The sequence below is a fragment of the Homo sapiens genome, chromosome 4 (genome assembly GCF_000001405.40).
Source record: "Homo sapiens chromosome 4, GRCh38.p14 Primary Assembly".
NCBI classification, from domain to species: domain Eukaryota; kingdom Metazoa; phylum Chordata; class Mammalia; order Primates; family Hominidae; genus Homo; species Homo sapiens.
This window is the reverse complement of record NC_000004.12, coordinates 116,281,179-116,300,709: the sequence shown is the minus strand read 5'-3', so window position 1 is coordinate 116,300,709 and position 19,531 is coordinate 116,281,179. Positions and strand designations below refer to the sequence as shown.

Here is a 19,531-nt window from a genome sequence, read left to right as displayed (position 1 = left end):
AGAAACATAGAGATAAAACAACAGTTGAAATAACATAAAGTCATGAAAAGTGTACTACTTCCATGATGACCAGGCAAGCTTCTGGTCATTGAAATGATACAGCTGTGGCATGACCAGCATTAATGACAGTCTCTTTCAGGGTATTGTACATGTACATGGTACATGTAAATTTGAAATAAGGGTAATTTACATGATGTAAACTACCTTACATGTATATATAGAAATATATATATGATAAATAAGATTAGTTTTCTAGATTTTTGTTGCTTATATGTTATCTGTAAACATTTTTCTGTTTTTCTGATACATATGTCTACATTGAGAAAAATACTTTTTAGTAATCTTAGTGGTTTTGACAATATATGAATTTTTCTTTGCATGGAAGACTATATGGAGTGAGGGCACTTTATGAAGTGGGCCCTATTTCTCTTGTCCTTTCATACTAAGATAAATGTTATATAGATAGAAACTGACCTGGATTACTCAGGTCTGAACTCAGATCACATAGAACTTTAACCGTTAAACAAACGAACCCTTAATAGCGGCTACACCATTAGGATGTCCTCATCCAACATCGAGGTTGTAAACCCTATTGTCAATACTTTTATCCGTAGGGTAATTTATTCCGTTGATTGAATTATTTGGTCAATGTGTACTAACTCGCTTAGACTACTGCAGTCTTAGTTTAGGTTGTTCGGAGGTTGAACTATGCTCCGAGCTCACCCCAACCAAAATTTTTAATGCAGGGATAGTAGGCCAGGGCCTCTAGACTTGTTTGGGTTTTTATTTGCATTAATGAATTAAAGCTCCATAGGGTTTTCTAGTCTCATTTGTTTATATCCGCCTCTTCACAGATAGGTCAATTTCACTGATTAAAAGTAAGAGACAGCTGAACCCTTGTGTGTCCATTCATACAAGTCCCTATTTAGGGAACAAGCGATTATGCTACCTTTGCACGGTCAGGATACCATGGCCGTTGAACATATGTCACCGGGCAGGCAGTGACTCTAAAACTGGTAATGCTAGAGGTGATGTTTTTGGTAAACAGGTGGGGTAAGATTTGTCATGTTCCTCTTACTTTTTGCAATCTTTCCTTAGAGCATACCTTAGTTGGGTTAACAGTGTAAATAATAGGGTGCTTATTATATCATTTATTAATATTAGGTTGTTAACTGTCAGTGGGTTATTCCAGTCTGATGTAAACGTATGCAATGGAGAATGTTTATATTAACATTATTGGTTCTATTAAGTAATTGATTAGTCCAGTATGATGTTAGGAGTTCAGTAGAGTGATTAGAATTGAAGATAGTTAGATGTTGAGCTTTAAATGCTTTCTTAATTGGTGGCTGCGTTTGGGCCAACTATGGTGGTAGTATTTTTTACTCTCTGTAGGAACGTCGTTTCCTAGGGTCTACAGAGCTGTCCCTCTTAGACTAACAGCTAAATTTACAGGGAGAGTAAATAATTCTGTGGGTAAGTTTAAAGTTGAACTAAGATTCCACGTTGGACAACCAACTATCACCAGGCTTGGTAGGCTTGTCACCGCTAGTCATGAATCTCCCAACTATTTTGCCACATAGATGGGTGTACTCTTCAGTTGTTCTTGGGTAGCTCATCTGGTTTTGGGGGACTTGGCTATAATCCTCTGTGTAAAGTTACTTCTAGTTAATACATTATGCGGAAGGTATAAGAGCTTGTCTTTGCTTTTTAGTGCTTTATATAGTTCTTTCACCTTTCTTTTACGGTACTATGTCTACTACACCAGGGTAAAAATTTCTATCACCTATACTTTCGTTTAATGTAAATGGTTTGATTAAGATAGTTTGATAATATTTTTAGCGAGGTTTGGGGCTAGCGTTGGCTCAAAGTGAACAGATCATGATGAAATCTTCCAGGTGTAAGCCGGATGCTTTGGGTTAAGCTACACTTTGGTTTGTCCAAGCGCCCTTTCCAGTACGCTTACCATGTTACAACTTATCTCCTCTGTATGTGCATAGAAAGTTTTTAGTAATAGTGATTTCTAGAGTAATATTTGAGGAGGGTGATGAGCGGTGTGTGCATGCTTCATGGCCTTATTCAACCAAGCACTCTGCGCTTGGTTTACTACTAAATCCTCCTTGAGCCCTTAGATTTCATAAAGGTTGTTGTGAGATTTGCCGGATATAGAAAATGTAGCCCATTTCTTGCCACCTCATAGGCTGTACCTTGACCTAATGTTTTTATATGTGTACTTGTGCTTACTCTGTAACTTTTTTAGGGTTTGCTGAAGATGGCAGTATATAGGCTGCGGGCAAGAGGTGGCAAGGCGGTTGTATCGGGGTTTATCAATTATAGAACAGGCTCCTCTAGAGGGATATAAAGCACCGCCAAGTCCTTTGAGTTTTAAGCTGTTGCTTGTAGTACTCTGGCGAATGGTTTTCTCAATGTAACTATTAGAGTTTAGGGCTAAGCATAGTGGGGTATCTAATCCCAGTTTGGGTTTTAGCTATTGTGTCTTCAGGGTATTAAAGCCACTTTCGTAGTATATTTTATTTCAGCTGTAGTTTTTTACAACTCAATTGGAGTTTAGCTTTATTGAGGGTAGACCTTAATTAAACACTCTTTACGCTGAGTTCTGTCAGCTCGGGTTAATCATATGGTCGCGGTGACTGGCACGAAATTGACCTATCCTAAATATTAGTATAGCTTAGTTAAACTTTCGTTTATTACTAAAGATTTATCACTGCCGTTTCCCATGGGGGTGTGGTTGAGCAAAGTTGTTTTGAGCTGTATTCATGCTTGCTTGATACCTGCTCCTTTTGATCCGGGTGACCTAGAGGGCATTTTCACTGGGGCAGGGATGCTTACATGTGTAATCTTACTAAGAGCTAGTAAAAAGGCCAGGACCAAACCTCTCTGTTTATAGGGTTGTGCGGATCCATCTAGACATTTTCAGTGTCTTGCTTTGAATAATTAAGCTACATTAACTGCATAAATTCTTAAGTGTAAATATTAAAATATGAGAAATAAATAAATAAATAAAAATAGTCGTTTACAGTTCTGGAAATTCAGGGTCTTTAAAGTTGAATTGGCAGAGGTTTGGCTAAGAAGATCACTCATAATCAAGAGTATGATTGATTTAGGAGATGATATATGGGGCAATGCTTTCGGGGGATATGCTCAAGGTATTATATTAGTATTAGGGCAGAAATTTAGTTATTATATTTATTATACAAAGTGGAGGATTAATTTAGTAGGAGGGTGTTAAGATTTTTTAGAAAAATTACATCAATCGAGGGGTAGCTGTTGAGGCGTTCATGGTTAAAATATGATTTCTGGGCTCTGACTGGGCTGCATTTTAGTCTTTTGTTTTTGGGGTTTGGCAAGGATACATTTAGCTAGGTTGATAGTAAAGTCAGAGATGCGGGGAGGGGGTATTGCAGATTTAATCGGAAATAGTTCTTGAAATTCAGAGTGCATGCGACGGGCGTGAGCGTCGGTACGGGCGTGAGCGTCGGTACGGGCGTGAGCGTCGGTACGGGCGTGAGCGTCGGTACGGGCGTGAGCGTCGGTACGGGCGTGAGCGTCGGTACGGGCGTGAGCGTCGGTACAGGCTTGCGTGTCTATTAATTGTTATGTCCTTCAAGCATGAATTAAGTAACACCTTCTGGTTATAATGCCAGCCTGGAATATGAATATAAGGTTAGCTTCTACAATTGATTTGGCAGGAATCAAATCCGAGTTCCTCTACTGCGGATTCGGCAGGGACCAGGTGAGTGATAGCATCCCCCAAAGTTAAAAGTACCAAATGCATGACATGACAGTGCTCCTGTGACTGGTTAATAGGGTGGTAGTCATTAGTCCATGGAAATGTCTTATTTAAGGGGAACGTGTGGGCGATCTTAATTCTATGGCCCTGAAGTAAGAACCAGATGCCAGGTATGGTTTCAGTATAGTCACCCCCAAGTGTCATGGGCCTGGAACCAGGAGGGTGCCACTCCTGAGAGGGATGATGATTTCTCAGTGGTTGGTAGATTAAGAGAGCAAAATTTGATAGGGGATATACATGTTGACGAGGGATTTCTTGACTGAAATGTGCTATGTCCGATGAACGAATGTATGCACTGTGATTTACAGTATGGGTCAATATCCACGTGGGTTAGATTTTATTGTACAGTCAATAGTAGATGTGTGATAGTTGATTAAGAAGTTATTAATATGTGCTTCTATGCATGTGGACTATGCTTGTGGAAGATCATAATTTAGGAGGTGTTAATATTAAAAAAAAACCTAAGAATTCTGTAAATATCAGTAGATAGAGGAAACAACATACACAGGAATAAACGTAACATGATGTGCAATGAAATTGTCTTCTCACTGTAGAAGAATACTAATTAGCATTTTAAACATCAGTATACATAATAGGAAAAGATAGGTTTATATATTTTATGATTTTACTTAGTTTAGTTCGCATAGTAAAATACAGTATATCTGAATTCTCATTAAACTTTTCCAGTTAACTATTAAAAATAGACGCTAGTACATTACCAAGTGTATGTTTTTTCAAGTTGTCCAAATTCATTAAAAAGAAACCTCCAAGACTGGACTGTGTTTATACTCTAATGACTATTTTCCAAAATTCTTTCCTGATTTTGTTTCATATAAGTGTTCCTATTCCTAAACCTTTATTTTTCATCTCCCTATGCCTTTGATACTCTTGAGAGTGAAATAATCCATTAATTACAGCATCACCTAAAAGGTGTATCATTAGGTCCAATCATTTCTAGAGCTTCATTTCCATTTTATATATACTTATAAAATATTAGACTGCTTAATATGTACTGTCTCAAATCTGAAGTTATCATTCTCTCTTTCAAAATTGCCAAGGAATATGAATTTCCTGTTATTATGACTAGCATGATAGTTTATAAATGGTTTCAGACAAGACAAATAATCTAAGGCCTTCTGCTCTAGTAGAAAGCACAATAAACTTTCAGCAAAACATTTCATGTTTCATTTGTGGATCTTCTGCTAATAGGATATGTACTGTACAATTATGTGCTTAAACAGTATAAACTTGAGTCTCCATATCTCTGTAATATTAATGATAGCACCTATAGATTATGTTATGTGATAATAAAACAATATGTATTACAGTAAACTCCTCCAAAAAATGTTAAGAGCTATAAAGATGTTTATTATTAGTAGTAAAGTTTCTATAATACAAATATAATCAATGTAAGTTGCCAGAAACTACTGTACTAATGCATGCTATTATGATTTGAGATAATATAGCACACTTAAAGGAAAAAAAAGTATGATTTGTATTGACCAGACTCAATCAGAACTTTTAAAAGTCATCTATACCAATTCTGTGGACTTCCTCCACTTCTCCCCAAGCATAAATGAAGTATTTGATTTTATAAAGCGCTAATATGTAAAGAGATTATTTGGTGATTTTGCAAGTTATGTTATAATCAGATCAGATCAATTTTCATCTTTCTCATGGAAAGTCATGAATCAATAATAAGCTCACTTCTATGGAAAACAACAAATCATCGTTTAAAGGCTACTTATTCACACAGCCGATAAATTATAAAGCATCATAATAAAAGCAGTAAAAATGATAGCATTAAACCATTTTTTATAAAATTATTACACAATGTAGTTAAAAAACAGGTATGGGCTTTGTGAGGTATGCTCTAGAAACTTAACTCAGGGAATGTAAAACCAGTAATTTCAAGCTTAAGAAACATTACATGCTGCCCATCACATCCCTGTAAGCTCCTACTGAATAGAATTTGAAAGCTGCACAACCAAGCTAGAGGCACCAGGACTGCCTCAGAATTGATAATAGCAAGTTGGAAAAGTAATCAATGGACTTCGTTACATAATACTTGACATGCATGTGTTTGAAAACAAACAAACAAAAAAATTGAAAGTAGAAGATATACTAAAATTGATAACAGAATAAGGGAAGAAAAATACAGTAAGAGATAAGAAAATGAAAATAGACAAGAGAAATATTGAATGAGAAGTTTCATGTGATGATAATCAAACTATCAGAAATTTCCAAGGAAGGAAGAGAGAAAATCTGTGTAATAAAATGATAGCGCAGGAAATTGGAGAGGTAGTTATTACAATGTTCTCAACAAAAGAACTAAACTTCAGGAATGTTACTGGAGATAGAAAGGGGCCATGTTAACTAGTGCAACTGTGTGTAGTTAAGTAGGCTGTAGGCTGTAGTCTTCACAGGGTCACCTTGTTGGTGTGCCATGTCAAGCAATGAGCCATGGCATGAGGCTACATCAGTCCTGAGGAAGGGGCTTCATTTTCTAATTAGTCCTCCCCAAAGAGGAGCTTTTTTTTTATTATTATTATTTCATCATCAATCCACCTAAAAAATAATGTTTTCTCCTGCTCCTGTTCCTCCTCCTGCTCTTCCTCCTCCTCTTCCTCTTTCTTCACACAAAGTTACAGTATAAACTTGGTGCAGTCTTTCCCCGCACAAAATGGAACAAGGTTACAGAGGAGAGTGAAAAAATGTTTAAAGCCAGAAAGTGATCAGAACTTTGAGAAAATGCATTTTGTGGTATGGGTCACAGGTGGGTAGATGATTTAAATTTTCCAGTGGATAATAATTAAGCCAGGATAGAAATTGATAGAAAATACAAGGAACATGTTGCAGATATCATTCAAGCTGGATTTGGTAATTACTTTTATGTGGAGATTATAGAAAAGAGGAGTCATTTAAAAATAAGGCTCCTAGCCAGGAAGATATAGTACCTAATCAAACAATGGTATAGTATAAAAATAAGTACAAATGTTAAATATAAGTATAAAAGTATAAAATATTATTTTAGTATAAAAATAAGAGGAGAGAATAATTTTGTAGGAAATGTCATGTGAATTAAGTCTCTTATTAGACTTAATAAGGACACATGAAAACACTACATAAAAATTAAAGGATGTATTTTGAAGCCAACTGTATAAATTTGGGGGTAAACCACCTAACATAAATCTGATAAAAAATTTGTTAAATACTGAATCATTTTATTTAATTATTTTATCTCTTCAAACAATTTTGAGGTCTTTTATATGTGCATCATCGAACAATGCTCTAGATATTTACAAATAAGCACCCAACAGTGCCATTGGGTAGATATAGATCCATCTTGTCACTCACATAATAAGCTTATGAAGTCCCTAGTCGAGAATCTACCAAGGTTATACAATGTACTGTGCCATTCTAAGATTTCACTCAAAGTGTATTTGACTTTCATCTGCATTCATTAAAAATTGATATGATAAATAATAAGCTTTATTGTTAAATTATGAAAATTTATAGCTAAATGATCTTAAGAGTATAATGTGTCATGTTCATTAAAAGCTCAAAAAATAATGTGTTTTGAAATGTCCTAGCATCTTCTCAAAATTTTCAACCTAGTTTCTGTGGGTAAATGCAATTTTAAATTTAAAATCATTACTATGAATTACTGTTGAATTTTAACTGACACGTCATAAGTGAGAGACTTTCTACAATGACTTTAGGACATCCAGGAGTATGAAATTTTATTTAAAATAATGTAATAATTACTGTCTACATGAAACCTCCCATATTTCTTTTAATGATAATTTATATTTTGTCTGTTATATTTACACATTGATTTAAAACAAATATCTTGTAAGATATAATTTCATTCAGTTATGGTGAGTACAGAGTGATGGTTTTCCATCATGCTAACATAATAGAAACAGGAAAAAAAGAAGATTCATTCAATTGTGCAGAAGTACCTCAATGGTACCACCACCTTTATAGTCGATGACAACATTTTTGCTTTTCTACATGACCATCGTACTATGCCTTAAAATTACAGATATGAATGAGTGGATAGAGATACTGTCTGGAAATGATTTGATGACCTAGTATCATCTTTTTAATAGCAATTAGGCTCTGGAAATGGCACTGGTGAGACTTCGCTGAGTCAATGGATGACAAACAGTGTTTACTCAGCTTGTAAATGTATTCTAAATCATACACCCCAGGAATGTCTAGAAATTCTTATTAAATATTAGTACTATATTTTTCCATGTGTTTAAAGTGGAACATGTGCATGAGCAATAAATCTGAACTTATGTTTTTTAATGATTAAGGTAAAATAGTCCATCCTTGGGAAAAAATGAATTTATTGACTATTTGGAGTTCCTTCTGCATTTTATGTCTTTGATAATAATAATGACACTCTTAAGTGATTATTATACTGCGTCTTCAAAATCAAACTATATCAAAGAGAAAAGAAAGTAAATGGTCCAAGTCTATTCTTTGAATGTTGTACCAGAATGATATAAAAGTCTATTTGCATTTTATTTGCTGTGTGATTACTTTTTGTTTTAACAAGTTATGTAGTATACTGATTCAAAATTCGGGTCTATTTCAATTGAGATATTGTAATTTTGGTTTACAGATCGGTTGGCTTATCTAAATTTTACGTCAATCTCACTGGTACTTTACTTACCTCCTGTAGATTTTAACAACAAAAAATAATTTGAAGTAAGAAAATTATACTTCTTCAAATCATTTGTAAGCACTGACATTTACAAATTTTTCACAAAATGTTAACTGAATCTCATTTTATAACATAAATTCTCCAAACACAATAGGTTTTCTTGGAAATTATTGCACATTGATTTTAAATTGCTAACAATGTGGTTTCATATTAAGAATGCTTGATGGAATTACAAGTAAGATTCAAAATCCAAGGTGTTTTATTTTGCCTATTTAATGGCAGTCAACTAGAAAATTTTACTGTAATGATGGTGAATAGACAAGGACTCAACTATAAATTATAAATAAATATATGGTATTCTACCCAAAATACAATCCAGTGTTTAGGTTAAAGTTGAGAGTGCCCACTGATGGATAAGATAATGAAATTCTTTTATATAATATAAAACTAATCTGTCAAAATTTAAATAAACCATGTTAAGCCTTTGAGGAGTAAAAATATTGATCAGTGTGTCGTAAAACTGAGTAATAGATATATATCTATTTTAGAAGGAATTTTGTTTTTTTCTGATATTTCATTAATATTTGATTTCTTGCCTATACTACTGCTTAAGACAAAACCTCTAGATAATAAGCAATTCTATTCAAAATATATAAGCATAAAATATTCTATATTGTGTTCACTTTTAAAATTTACCCATTACTGTTATTTTCAAAACTATATGTTAAATGTATTTCTAAATAAGGTGATAAAATCATGGTATTTCTACAATAAATTCATTTTTTTCCCAAGGATGGACTATTTTACCTTAATCATTAAAAAACCTAAGTTCAGATTTATTGCTCATGCACATGTTCCACTTTAAACACATGGAAAAAATTAACTGAAAATAAAAATATATATATAATTAAGCCCTATGGCATACATTTCTTTTGAGCCAAATAAGGTTAGATCCTGATGGGGTACATATTTCTACATAATTCTAATCTCCTAGGCAAAATTATGTACACATGATTTTACAACCACTGGTTTCTTACTTGGAATAGCATGTCAGATTGTTGTTTTTTAAGGCATCTCAGAAGTAAATTATTCACTGATGTTTAGGAAGAAAGACTCATCAAAAAGAGAAACCAGGCAAATCCTCCATGTTTACAGGGGTAGACTGGATCAATAGTGTCTGATTAGGAAAGCAGAAACCACTCAAGATATCTCTCAAAACTATTGGAGGGGCTGGGGAAATAAGGTGATGAGGAGAAGCAAATAAATAAATGAATACATAAATAAATAAAAGTAAAAAAAATCTTCAGTTAATCTTTAGTTGACTAGAATGAAGAATTATTTAAAATAAATATTTTACTGAATTGAGTGTTTATTGCCTTAGAACAATATAAATACCATGATAAGTTCAATAACTAAGATTAGCATAATTTCCTCTAATAATACTAATGGTTCAATCACAAGCACAGATCATTAAATTATTAGTTCAATTTACAAAGTAGAGAATACGGAATTTTATGAGCACCAGAGATCTTTTCTAGCTGAGTAAAAATATTCATTCTCATGATCCTTCTGGTATCTGATTTGAAATAGTGGGTGAGATGATGGTCCCACCAGATTGCATAAGTGAAATTGGTTCAATGATTGGAAGAGTGTGGCTCCAAGAATATATTATGTGGGAGGATCTGGGTAACTAAGTGCTCCCTGAACCTCCGTGCCATCAAGCTCGCTTTGCCAGAAGAAGCAGTAGTGCTTCCCTTGAATGATGAAACTCATATCTTGCTTTAATAACAATTCTCTTGCCTAAGGTAAGTTCCCTACAGTGGGGAGCTGATGCTCCCCATGCCCCAAACCCCATTTCCCCTAAGACTATCAGTAGAATTAAATATTAGCCTGTCTCTGTGAGATGTATAAACACAGGATTAAAAACACAAACCTCAGGAAATTGCTAAATGTATAAATAAACTCTGAGGATAATGAAAACAAAAAAGAGAGAATATTACAATTTTACGCTACAGTCAGTTTTAAAAAAATGAGTACTTTCCTCCACAATCTGGATTCAGTGGACCAACTGGGACATCAGTGTGTGGTTCCAATTATCCCAATCTTTACTTGCTTCATTAACAGGAACATGGCCTCAAAGAAGATTGAGGTGAATAGGGTGGCTGAATATACATATTTAATAATCCATAAGTGGAGTCATAATTATAAAAGGAGAAATGTGCACATGTGCAATTGAGCTTTGTGCCTCTTCATGAGTCGAATGATTTAAAAATGGCAGCGTGAGCATGATCTAAGAGTGGAGTTTTCAACACACTGACATCAAAAGGTGAAGCCAAGGACGCAAAAACCGTCTCTGTGCATCCTCTCCAAACTAGTCTGGTGATCATGGTCACTTTTTAGGAAGAGATGCACTGTAAATCTGGTGAGCTGTCACATCTGCTGTTGGCTTCAGATGACTGGCATAAGGAGACAAAGGAATGTGCTTTATATTTTTTGTTTTTCAGAGCTGGTTTCTGTTTACTCCTTAGGAAAGCACTCTGGTTAAAGATTAATAAAGAGGAATCATACTGAGGTGTATCCAACCTCCCATTCTGTCATGGCCAGGAACTCAGTTTTTAAAGTTTCTCTGGGTTCCCCTTGGCCAAGATGGAGATTAGGATTCATTCAGTTGATTGGGAGGTTTAAGATTTTATTTTTATGTCTCAACTGAAAAAAGCCACACCAAAAGAGTAGATATTTTGGGATTTTGTTTATGTAAAATTCCATAAAATGCAAACTAATCTAAACTGACAGAAGCAGGTTACTCATTGCCTGGGGAAGAGGATTAGCATTGGGGAAGGGGATGTGCAGAGATCTGACAATATGCAGAAGAAAACTTTTGGCTGTGATGGACTTGTCCATTATCTACATGTAATAGTGGTTTTATAGGTGTATACATGTACCAAAACTTATCAAATTGTTTACATATTTTTACTTTATTTTATGACAATTTTATTTCAATAAAGACATTATAAATGTAAAAACAACAAAAAATATATAGTCTTCAGCAAAATTTAAAACTTCCTTTACAAATCCCAATTTTAAAAATGAAAAGTCACCCTATTCACAATAAATTCCGGTCTTATTCTTCTCTCACTCGAAGTGCTGGTTTCCAGATTCTGTCAGAGACTGTGCTTCCTAGCCTGTCCGAATTGCCACTTTGCAGGATACAACCCTTTAGAAGAAACAAAGTTCTCCTTTGCAAATTTTTTAACCTTGTGATTCTTCAGTCGACATACTTAATATAATTATTTTGAGAGATCCAAACTATAATTATATATATCAATAATTTATTCTTTTTATTGAAGAATAGTATTCCATTATATGGAAATGCAATTTGTTTACTCACTTACATGTTGGTAGACTGCATTGCTTCCAGTTTTTGACTATCGAAAATAAAAATAAAGCCACTACAAGTATTTATGCAGAAGGCTTTGTTTGAAAAAAACACTTTCAGTTTTGAAATACCTAGGAATGCAATATCTGTGTCCTATGGCAGGTGTATTTTTAGATTTTAGTTAAATGGTGACTGTTTACAAAGGTAGTTGTGCCACTTTATATTCCTACCAGCAATTTCATGAGCATTTCATTTGAATCACATGTTCACCAAAATTATTTGGTATGGTTGGATTTTTTTTAATTTTAGGCATATATATATATATATATATATATATATAAACAATTATATTGTGGGTTTAATTTGGGTTTCCTTAATAACTAATTATATTAGGTATCTGTTTATGTGCCTATTTTCTGTATGTGTATATTATTTGGAAAAATGTCTATTTAGACATTTGTCCATTTGTTTTTTAGTTTCTTTGATTTCTTATTGACCTTTCAGATTTATTTGTATATCCTGAACTCAAATTATTTTTCAAATATGTGATTTGCTGGCCATTTATATTAGCCTGTGACTTGTCTTTTTATACTTTTAAATCATTTATATTAGTCAAAAAAAAAAGAAGATTAAGGTGACAAATTAGAGAAAAATTATTAGAGAAAGCAGCAAGAGATTTTGGATATATCCACTCTTGCCCAAACTATATTTGAGGAGAGAGCCCAGAGATAATCATCTTGAGAAACATTTAACCAAGGGGGACACTAGTTTCCGTGTATATCATTGTATTGATTATTTTCAGTGGGTTGTGATCCTGTTGGGAGATGGTGTTATTAAAATTTGCTTCTAGGTTTTTAGTAGAAAGAGATCATCTGGGGCACCAGAGACTGCATATTTGTATTACAGTGCCGAAGTAGTGGATCCAAAAAGAGGTAAAGCCAGTTAATAACAAGAATTTACATCAGAAGGAATCTTTAATTTTGCTCAAATGTGCACAGCATTCCTGGACCAAAATAAATGGATACTAATGTGGTATTCTACTAATTGGTATGACTATAACTATTTCAGTCATGTTAACAGAAGTCTGACCTGGAATTAGATATTGAAGTCATGGTTTCTTACACAGTTTTCAGAATTAAGTCAGTTCACATACTCAGGATCCACCGAAATAAGTAAATGTTCAATATACTTGAAATTGTATCTTACAATAACATCACCAGTATATTTTTAAAAATTTTTTCCTACATCCCAGATTTATATGAATAAAGAGTTCACAGTTTGGACACTCATCTAGGAGAAATTATTCCCCCAAACACAGACTGCTATGATAAAGTTAGTTTCAGAGTTCCTCCCTCATTCTCCTGGGCTATCTAATCCAAGTTTAACCTAGGATAGGGAAAGCACCACCTATAAACTTTATAGGAGTGTCAGAATGCTGTCAAGATTGAAGTGTCTAAAATGTGTTTCTGCCTTATTTTGTGGTCTAGTGATAGAATAACAGAGGAGATTTAAAACATTGTGGTATTTTTTGCAAAGCAAAATGAGAGTCAAGTACAAGTGTTAAGTAGCCTCATTGGAAAAGAAAAATAGCATTAGCAAAAGAAGCTCTTTAATCACATGGTGAACAATTATCCTTCTTACTATCAGAGCCAGAGAGGAGTAGAGAAAACCATTTTTGGGAGGCAGGTTCTGAATCTACATAGTATACATAAAGAAAATTATCTTGCCAATAGAGAGCAACACAGCCAATAGTGATCATAAACTGTGTTGTTTAGATGATGTTTTTCATACTGAGGGTGGTGAATTATTAGTGTGTTATAAAAACAGATCATGTGAGCCATCAAATATTTTTCATGGAATAATGAGTGGATTAAAATTGAATAGAATAAATTGAAATAGAATCAATCTAGTACATATAATATTTTAAATCTTCATTGGGATATTAGAAATATACTATATTAATAATTGTGATTACAAAAAAAACACAAGAACTTATTCCCCTAGGCAATGAAAACAATTCATATGTTACAAAAGAGTTTTAAATTTTTGAATTTAATATATTGTCTCAAACATGCTAATTTGGTTACAGAATTAAATAGCGATAACTAGCCAATAAAAAATGGATGTTGATATTGTAAGACTTTTTCAGTACTTTACTTGTAGTACCCTTAAAGCGAGCTAGATATTGCATTTAAGGAATCAATATGTTGATTTGGAAATTGTAAGGCTAATACTTTGAACTTTAAATTTGTAGTTTGATGAACAGTTATTTAATATTTATTCTTTGATGATTTACTCCCTTGATTAGTTTGTAAAACTTATTCTACTTAAAGAGCAATCTGGAAGTATTGATTTCCTTTACATTGGATTATACAAACATTCTTTAATGCTGGACAAGCAAAAAAAAAGAAAGAAAAAAGAATCATTTGGAAAAAATATATAAGGGAGCTTATGTTTATTTTATTCTGTCATAAATTTTGAGGTGGTAAAAGATAAAAGGGCAAGAATGAAAAATGCTTGTAGCCTGTGTTTTAAACATTTTTTGTTTGACATTTAACATGTATACCATGCTCTTTGGAATAATGATAAATTTGTAAATATATAACTGTCTCATTCTTTCTTCACTTGGTCAACTTTTATCCTTTTTTTGCATTGTGTTCTATTAAATATGCAATGATTGCTTTCTTTAAAATACTTGCAATTATAGAAAAAGATTAAAATGAGATATTTCGTGAACTAATATATATTACACAAGGAAATAATTAGTAAAACATCCCTGAGTCATTCTATTTTAAAATAGCAAAAGCATCATTTCCTGAATTATATAAAACAAAAAGGATAACAATGAACATGTAAAATTTTATTAGGGAGTAACTGGGAATCTATACTCAATCCCTGAGAAGAGAACAGGGGTATGGCCTAGGTAAATTTTAGTCTTCACTGAATGCTCCTTTGCCTTTGGTCCTTGAGGCAATATGGAAACAGTCTGAAATTTTTAACAAATAAGTTAAGTTCTCAGTTTGAGAAAGGATCAAACTGATTTGAAAAGGGAGAAAAACTGTCTGGCATTTCCTACCCGAGTTAACCTGTTAACTGAAGCTTCAGATGGCTCACATTTTTTTTTTTCATAATGGTATGAAGACTTGATGCACCTAAATTCTTCAAAAAAAAAATCTCAGGATATTGAGAAAGAAGGAAAAATGTTTTCATTTTTTTTAACACAAGATTTCCCAAATGAATCTTAAAATGAATCTTTTTTTTTGCCTTCTTGTTATTTTGTAAGAAATTCATTTTTTCCTGAAAATTTATCTACATAGAACTTATTTTATATTTCCAATTTTTATTTTTACATTTCAATATTCTAGGCTTAGGCTTCCTCATATAGCTGCAATACTGAAAATAATTCTTACACCAGCCACCTGGAGTTAGTTGCAAATCCATAAGTTAAAGACTGCCATAAGTTAAAATCCACAAGTTTTAGATGGATTTAACAAATCCATAAGTTAAAGCCACACTTCAGATGACAGCCACAAATTTGGGGTCCCCAGGCCACCTGAACTTCTAATCAACTGGTCACGCATCCAAGGAGTTCTCATGACCCCCTGAAGCTTGATAGTTTCTAGAAAGACACACAAATCAGGAATCTGCTATACTTATGATTACAGTTTTATTATAAAGAATACAAATTAGGAGACATATGAAATGAAGAGACACATGAGGCATGGTCTGGGAGAATTCCCAATGAAGAGGTTCTATGCCCTCTTCTCATGGAATTACAATGTATTCTGAATTTAAGACATTAAATATGAGCCGAGATTGAGTATACCTTACCTTTGAGATAAAGATAAACTACTGGTTCTGTGGGAAATTGATTTTAAGGTGGCCGTTCTTGATGAGAAAGGGACTTCATTCTTCAGGATGAAAATTTCCAAATAAAACAAAGAAGTCCTCTGTGAAATTTACTCTATAATCTTTTTTTGCAGCTACACTTAACATAGTAAACATTTATTTTTCAAATAAATCGAACCAGCACCACAGAGGTATGTTGTTTTGTAAAGCCATTCAGCAACTGAGGGTGATGGAAGATTTGACCTCTTCAGTATGTGGCTTCCAAAGTAACTCAGAGTACTGAAACCAAGCTGGCAAATGGGATTTATGAGATAGAATGAATGATTAAGAGCCTAGAAGTTTTATACATTTTATAACGTATTATATGCCAACTTTTCATTGGATAGAACCAAATAAATTGGCTAAAACAAGACATTCCTAATTCCCTTTCCAGAAATGCATTTTAGCTTTTAATTCTGAAATACTACAGAGGGTTTTTAAAAATAAGAAGCTACACAGAGATATTTTTGTTAATATTGTGGAACACAAACATTTGGCTTCAAATAAAAAAGCATAACACTAATAAATCAAGCAATATGTTTATCTTAAATCCCATTCTTTTTGTAGTGACTAACAAAAATAAGTATAATTTGAATCTCCGTACCCTACATATATTTGTTTTTAATGTTTCTTGATTATCAATAAATTGTTCCTAAAATTATAGCTCTGAGAAACATACTTTTGATAATGTTAGGAAGATTTAAAGATGACAAGAAGAGACTATATCTATATTTAATATAAAAGACATAACCACGATGTGCTGCTATTGACACAGTACAGAATAAAATCACACTAAATATTAAATGATACCTATGATTCAAAACTCATTGGTAAGCTGACCAGACCTCAGTTAACCAGGTTGTCAATCCCTCTTACCGTTAATAAAGACCAATGTATTTCACCTGAGATCCAAATAAATGAAATACTTTTAAATTCAAGTGATTTGCTTTACTTATTTTTTACATAAAGATGAGTATGTATCTAAAAGGAGACATATTTGTAATTCTGTTTTTGCATTTTCTGAGAGATCTCAAATATATTTGTTGCCACAACTCAAAAAAGTGAACATATTTTAATGAATGCAATAGGCATTCATTAACGTACTTTTCCTGTGACTTCACAACATTGCGAGAAGAAAAGATAAGAAGATCTAGGAGACATGAGGCAACAATCTGATTAGACAGTAAGTTTGGCTGAAAAGAAAGTGTGGGAAAATCTTCTCTTCTGAAAGAACAACTTTGCCTGTAATCCCAGCCAGCACTATAGGAGGCTGAGGCAGGCGGATCACGAGGTCAGGAGTTCAAGACCAGCCTGACCAACATGGTGAAACCCCATTTCTACTAAAAATACAAAAATTAGTCGGGCATGGTGGCGTCTGCCTGTAATCCCAGCTACTCAGGAGACTGGGGCAGGAAAATCGCTTGAACCCAGGAGGCGGAGGTTGCAGTGAGCTGAGGTCACGCCACTGCACTCCAGCCTGGGCAACAGAGCGAGACTTTGTCAAAACAAACAAACAAAAAAAAAACTTTATCAAAAAGTACAATGCAGACAATTCTACTTCCAATTATGTGTGTGTTTATAAATTTAATTTTAAAATGCAAAGATGCTATGTAAGCATAATCTCACAACTCTTAAATTTACTCTACCTGTAATTAGGGTTATGCTGGTAAATGCATACCAATTGTTTTTCAACAACAACAACAAAAATAGCTCTGATTCTCAGTTGTAACATTTGCTCATTTCTGGAGTGTAAACATTTTTACTATGGTTGATTTCAGTATAATAACATAAAGTCATTGAATGCAGAATTAGGAGGAAAGGTGAAGTAGCACACCATTATAGAGTAGTTCCACAAAAAAAAAAAATGTAAATATCCTCAAGAACATAGAAAATAGTACAGTATAGTAGAGTAATTGTAAGGTGATTCTTTTAAAGTATTTATTAATTTTATTTTAATGTAAATTGCTTAATTGTAATTTTTATAATTTAATTTTCAATAATGGCCATCTTCAACATCTTCAACAATCGATCAGCTTGCAAAGTTTTGCAAAGATTTTCTCCTTATCTTTACTTTCTAGCAGTTTGTCTATGGAGTGTGTGGCAGACAGACACTAAGGTTACCCCTCAATAATTTCTGGCCTCCTGATGTTCACGCTGCTGAGTATTACTGTCTCCTTATGTCTGGACAGGATCTGTGGTTTGCTCTCACCAGTAGAATATGGAAAAGGTGATAAAATGATACTGTCCTGATGAGTTTTTATTATATCATGCTATATAGCAAAGGTAATGAGATGTTATGCCTGTAGTGTGCTAAGTTAAAAAAGATTCCAGCAGATTAGAGCTAGAGTTTTCTTGCAGGTTCAATGCATTAGGGAACCACATTGAAGAATTTCACAGAAGGATCTGGAGGCCAGTTGCCTCTAGGAGTTGAAGGCAGCTTCCAGCTTACAGTCAGCAAATAACTGGGGACCTTGTTCTTACAACCACAGGAAATGAATTAGATCCACAACCTGAATGAGCTTGGAAGCAGGTAATTCCATAGGTAATCCTTTGGAAGAGGAGGCAGTATGGCTGACACCTTAACTGTAGCTTTGTGAGATCTGTAACAGAAGACTCAGTAGCTATGCCTGGATTCTTGATCTGCAGGCATTCTGGATATATGTGTGAACATCTTTATCCAGAACTGAATTAGTGCTTTATTTTGATTATGATCTACTTTGCTGATACTTGAAGAAGAAACAGGACCCAAAGCTAACCACACAATCCCTAAATACACTTAGAACTCATATAGTTAATATGTTATGTTTTATTTCTCCTATTCCCATTTTGTTCATTATATACCCTCCTGAAGCCACATGGCAGAGAATACACTTTAATTGAAATACACATTTATATATGCTTGTGTCCATCCTTTTACTATGATAAGTAGAATTAATTATGTTGTGAACATTGCTAAAGTCATAAAAAAGCAATATGTTTGGTTTCTCCTAGATCACATACAGAAGCAGATGAAGAACATACATATATGATAATACACATATATTGGGCTTCTGGTATTCTGAACTTTCTTGAATTTCCACAAAAGCTCCATTTCATTATTTTAAAAAATTCAAAAGTAAAATAATTTTGCAACTGTATGAGAAGCTGATGAGTTGTTTTAAGTAATTTGAATTCCTAAGCCTAATTTTCTAAATGTTCAAGAGTAATACATACATGCAGAAAAATGAAATTATGCTTTGTGCCATGTCAAAAGTTTCCTATTTCATCTATATCTATCCACACATTATATTTTGTTAGTTGCTTCTCAAATTTCTCACCTTTCAGAAAATGACTGGACATTCATCCCTTTGCTGAAAAAAATAACTGTTGAAATAGAGAATCAACCAATTTCAATAAAGACAGCATCATTACTGCAGTTCTTATAAATATGTAGTTCAGGCCGGGCACAGTGGCTCACGCTTGTAATCCCAGCATTTTGGGAGGCCGAGGCGGGCGGATCACAAGGTCAGGGGATCAAGACCATCCTGGCTAACACGGTGAAACCCCGTCTCTACTAACAATACAAAAAAATTAGCCGGGCGTGGTGGCAGGAGCCTGTAGTCCCAGCAACTCGGGAGGCTGAGACAGGAATGATGTGAACCTACGAGGTGGAGCTTGCAGTGAGCTGAGATCACGCCACTGCACTCCAGCCTGGGCAACAGAACGAGACTCCGTCTCAGAAATAAAATAAAATAAATGTAGTTCATTACTTCAGAAAATAATAGATGTACTGTCTATTTTA

The 19,531-nt window shown here is 33.8% G+C and overlaps 1 long non-coding RNA gene, 1 other non-coding gene and 1 pseudogene across 2 annotated transcripts; 1 reads left to right on the top strand and 2 right to left on the bottom strand.

The window, feature by feature from the left end:
* Positions 388-1,850, bottom strand: MTRNR2L13 (MT-RNR2 like 13 (pseudogene); annotated as a pseudogene).
* Positions 942-985, bottom strand: MIR1973 (microRNA 1973). The gene has a single exon (NR_031737.1). It is a non-coding gene; the product is annotated as a microRNA 1973 (primary transcript).
* On the top strand, positions 3,532-18,636 carry LOC105377383 (uncharacterized). The gene is made up of 2 exons (XR_939096.3): positions 3,532-3,751; positions 18,109-18,636. It is a non-coding gene; the product is annotated as an uncharacterized LOC105377383 (long non-coding RNA).
* The last annotated feature ends 895 nt before the right edge of the window (positions 18,637-19,531 follow it).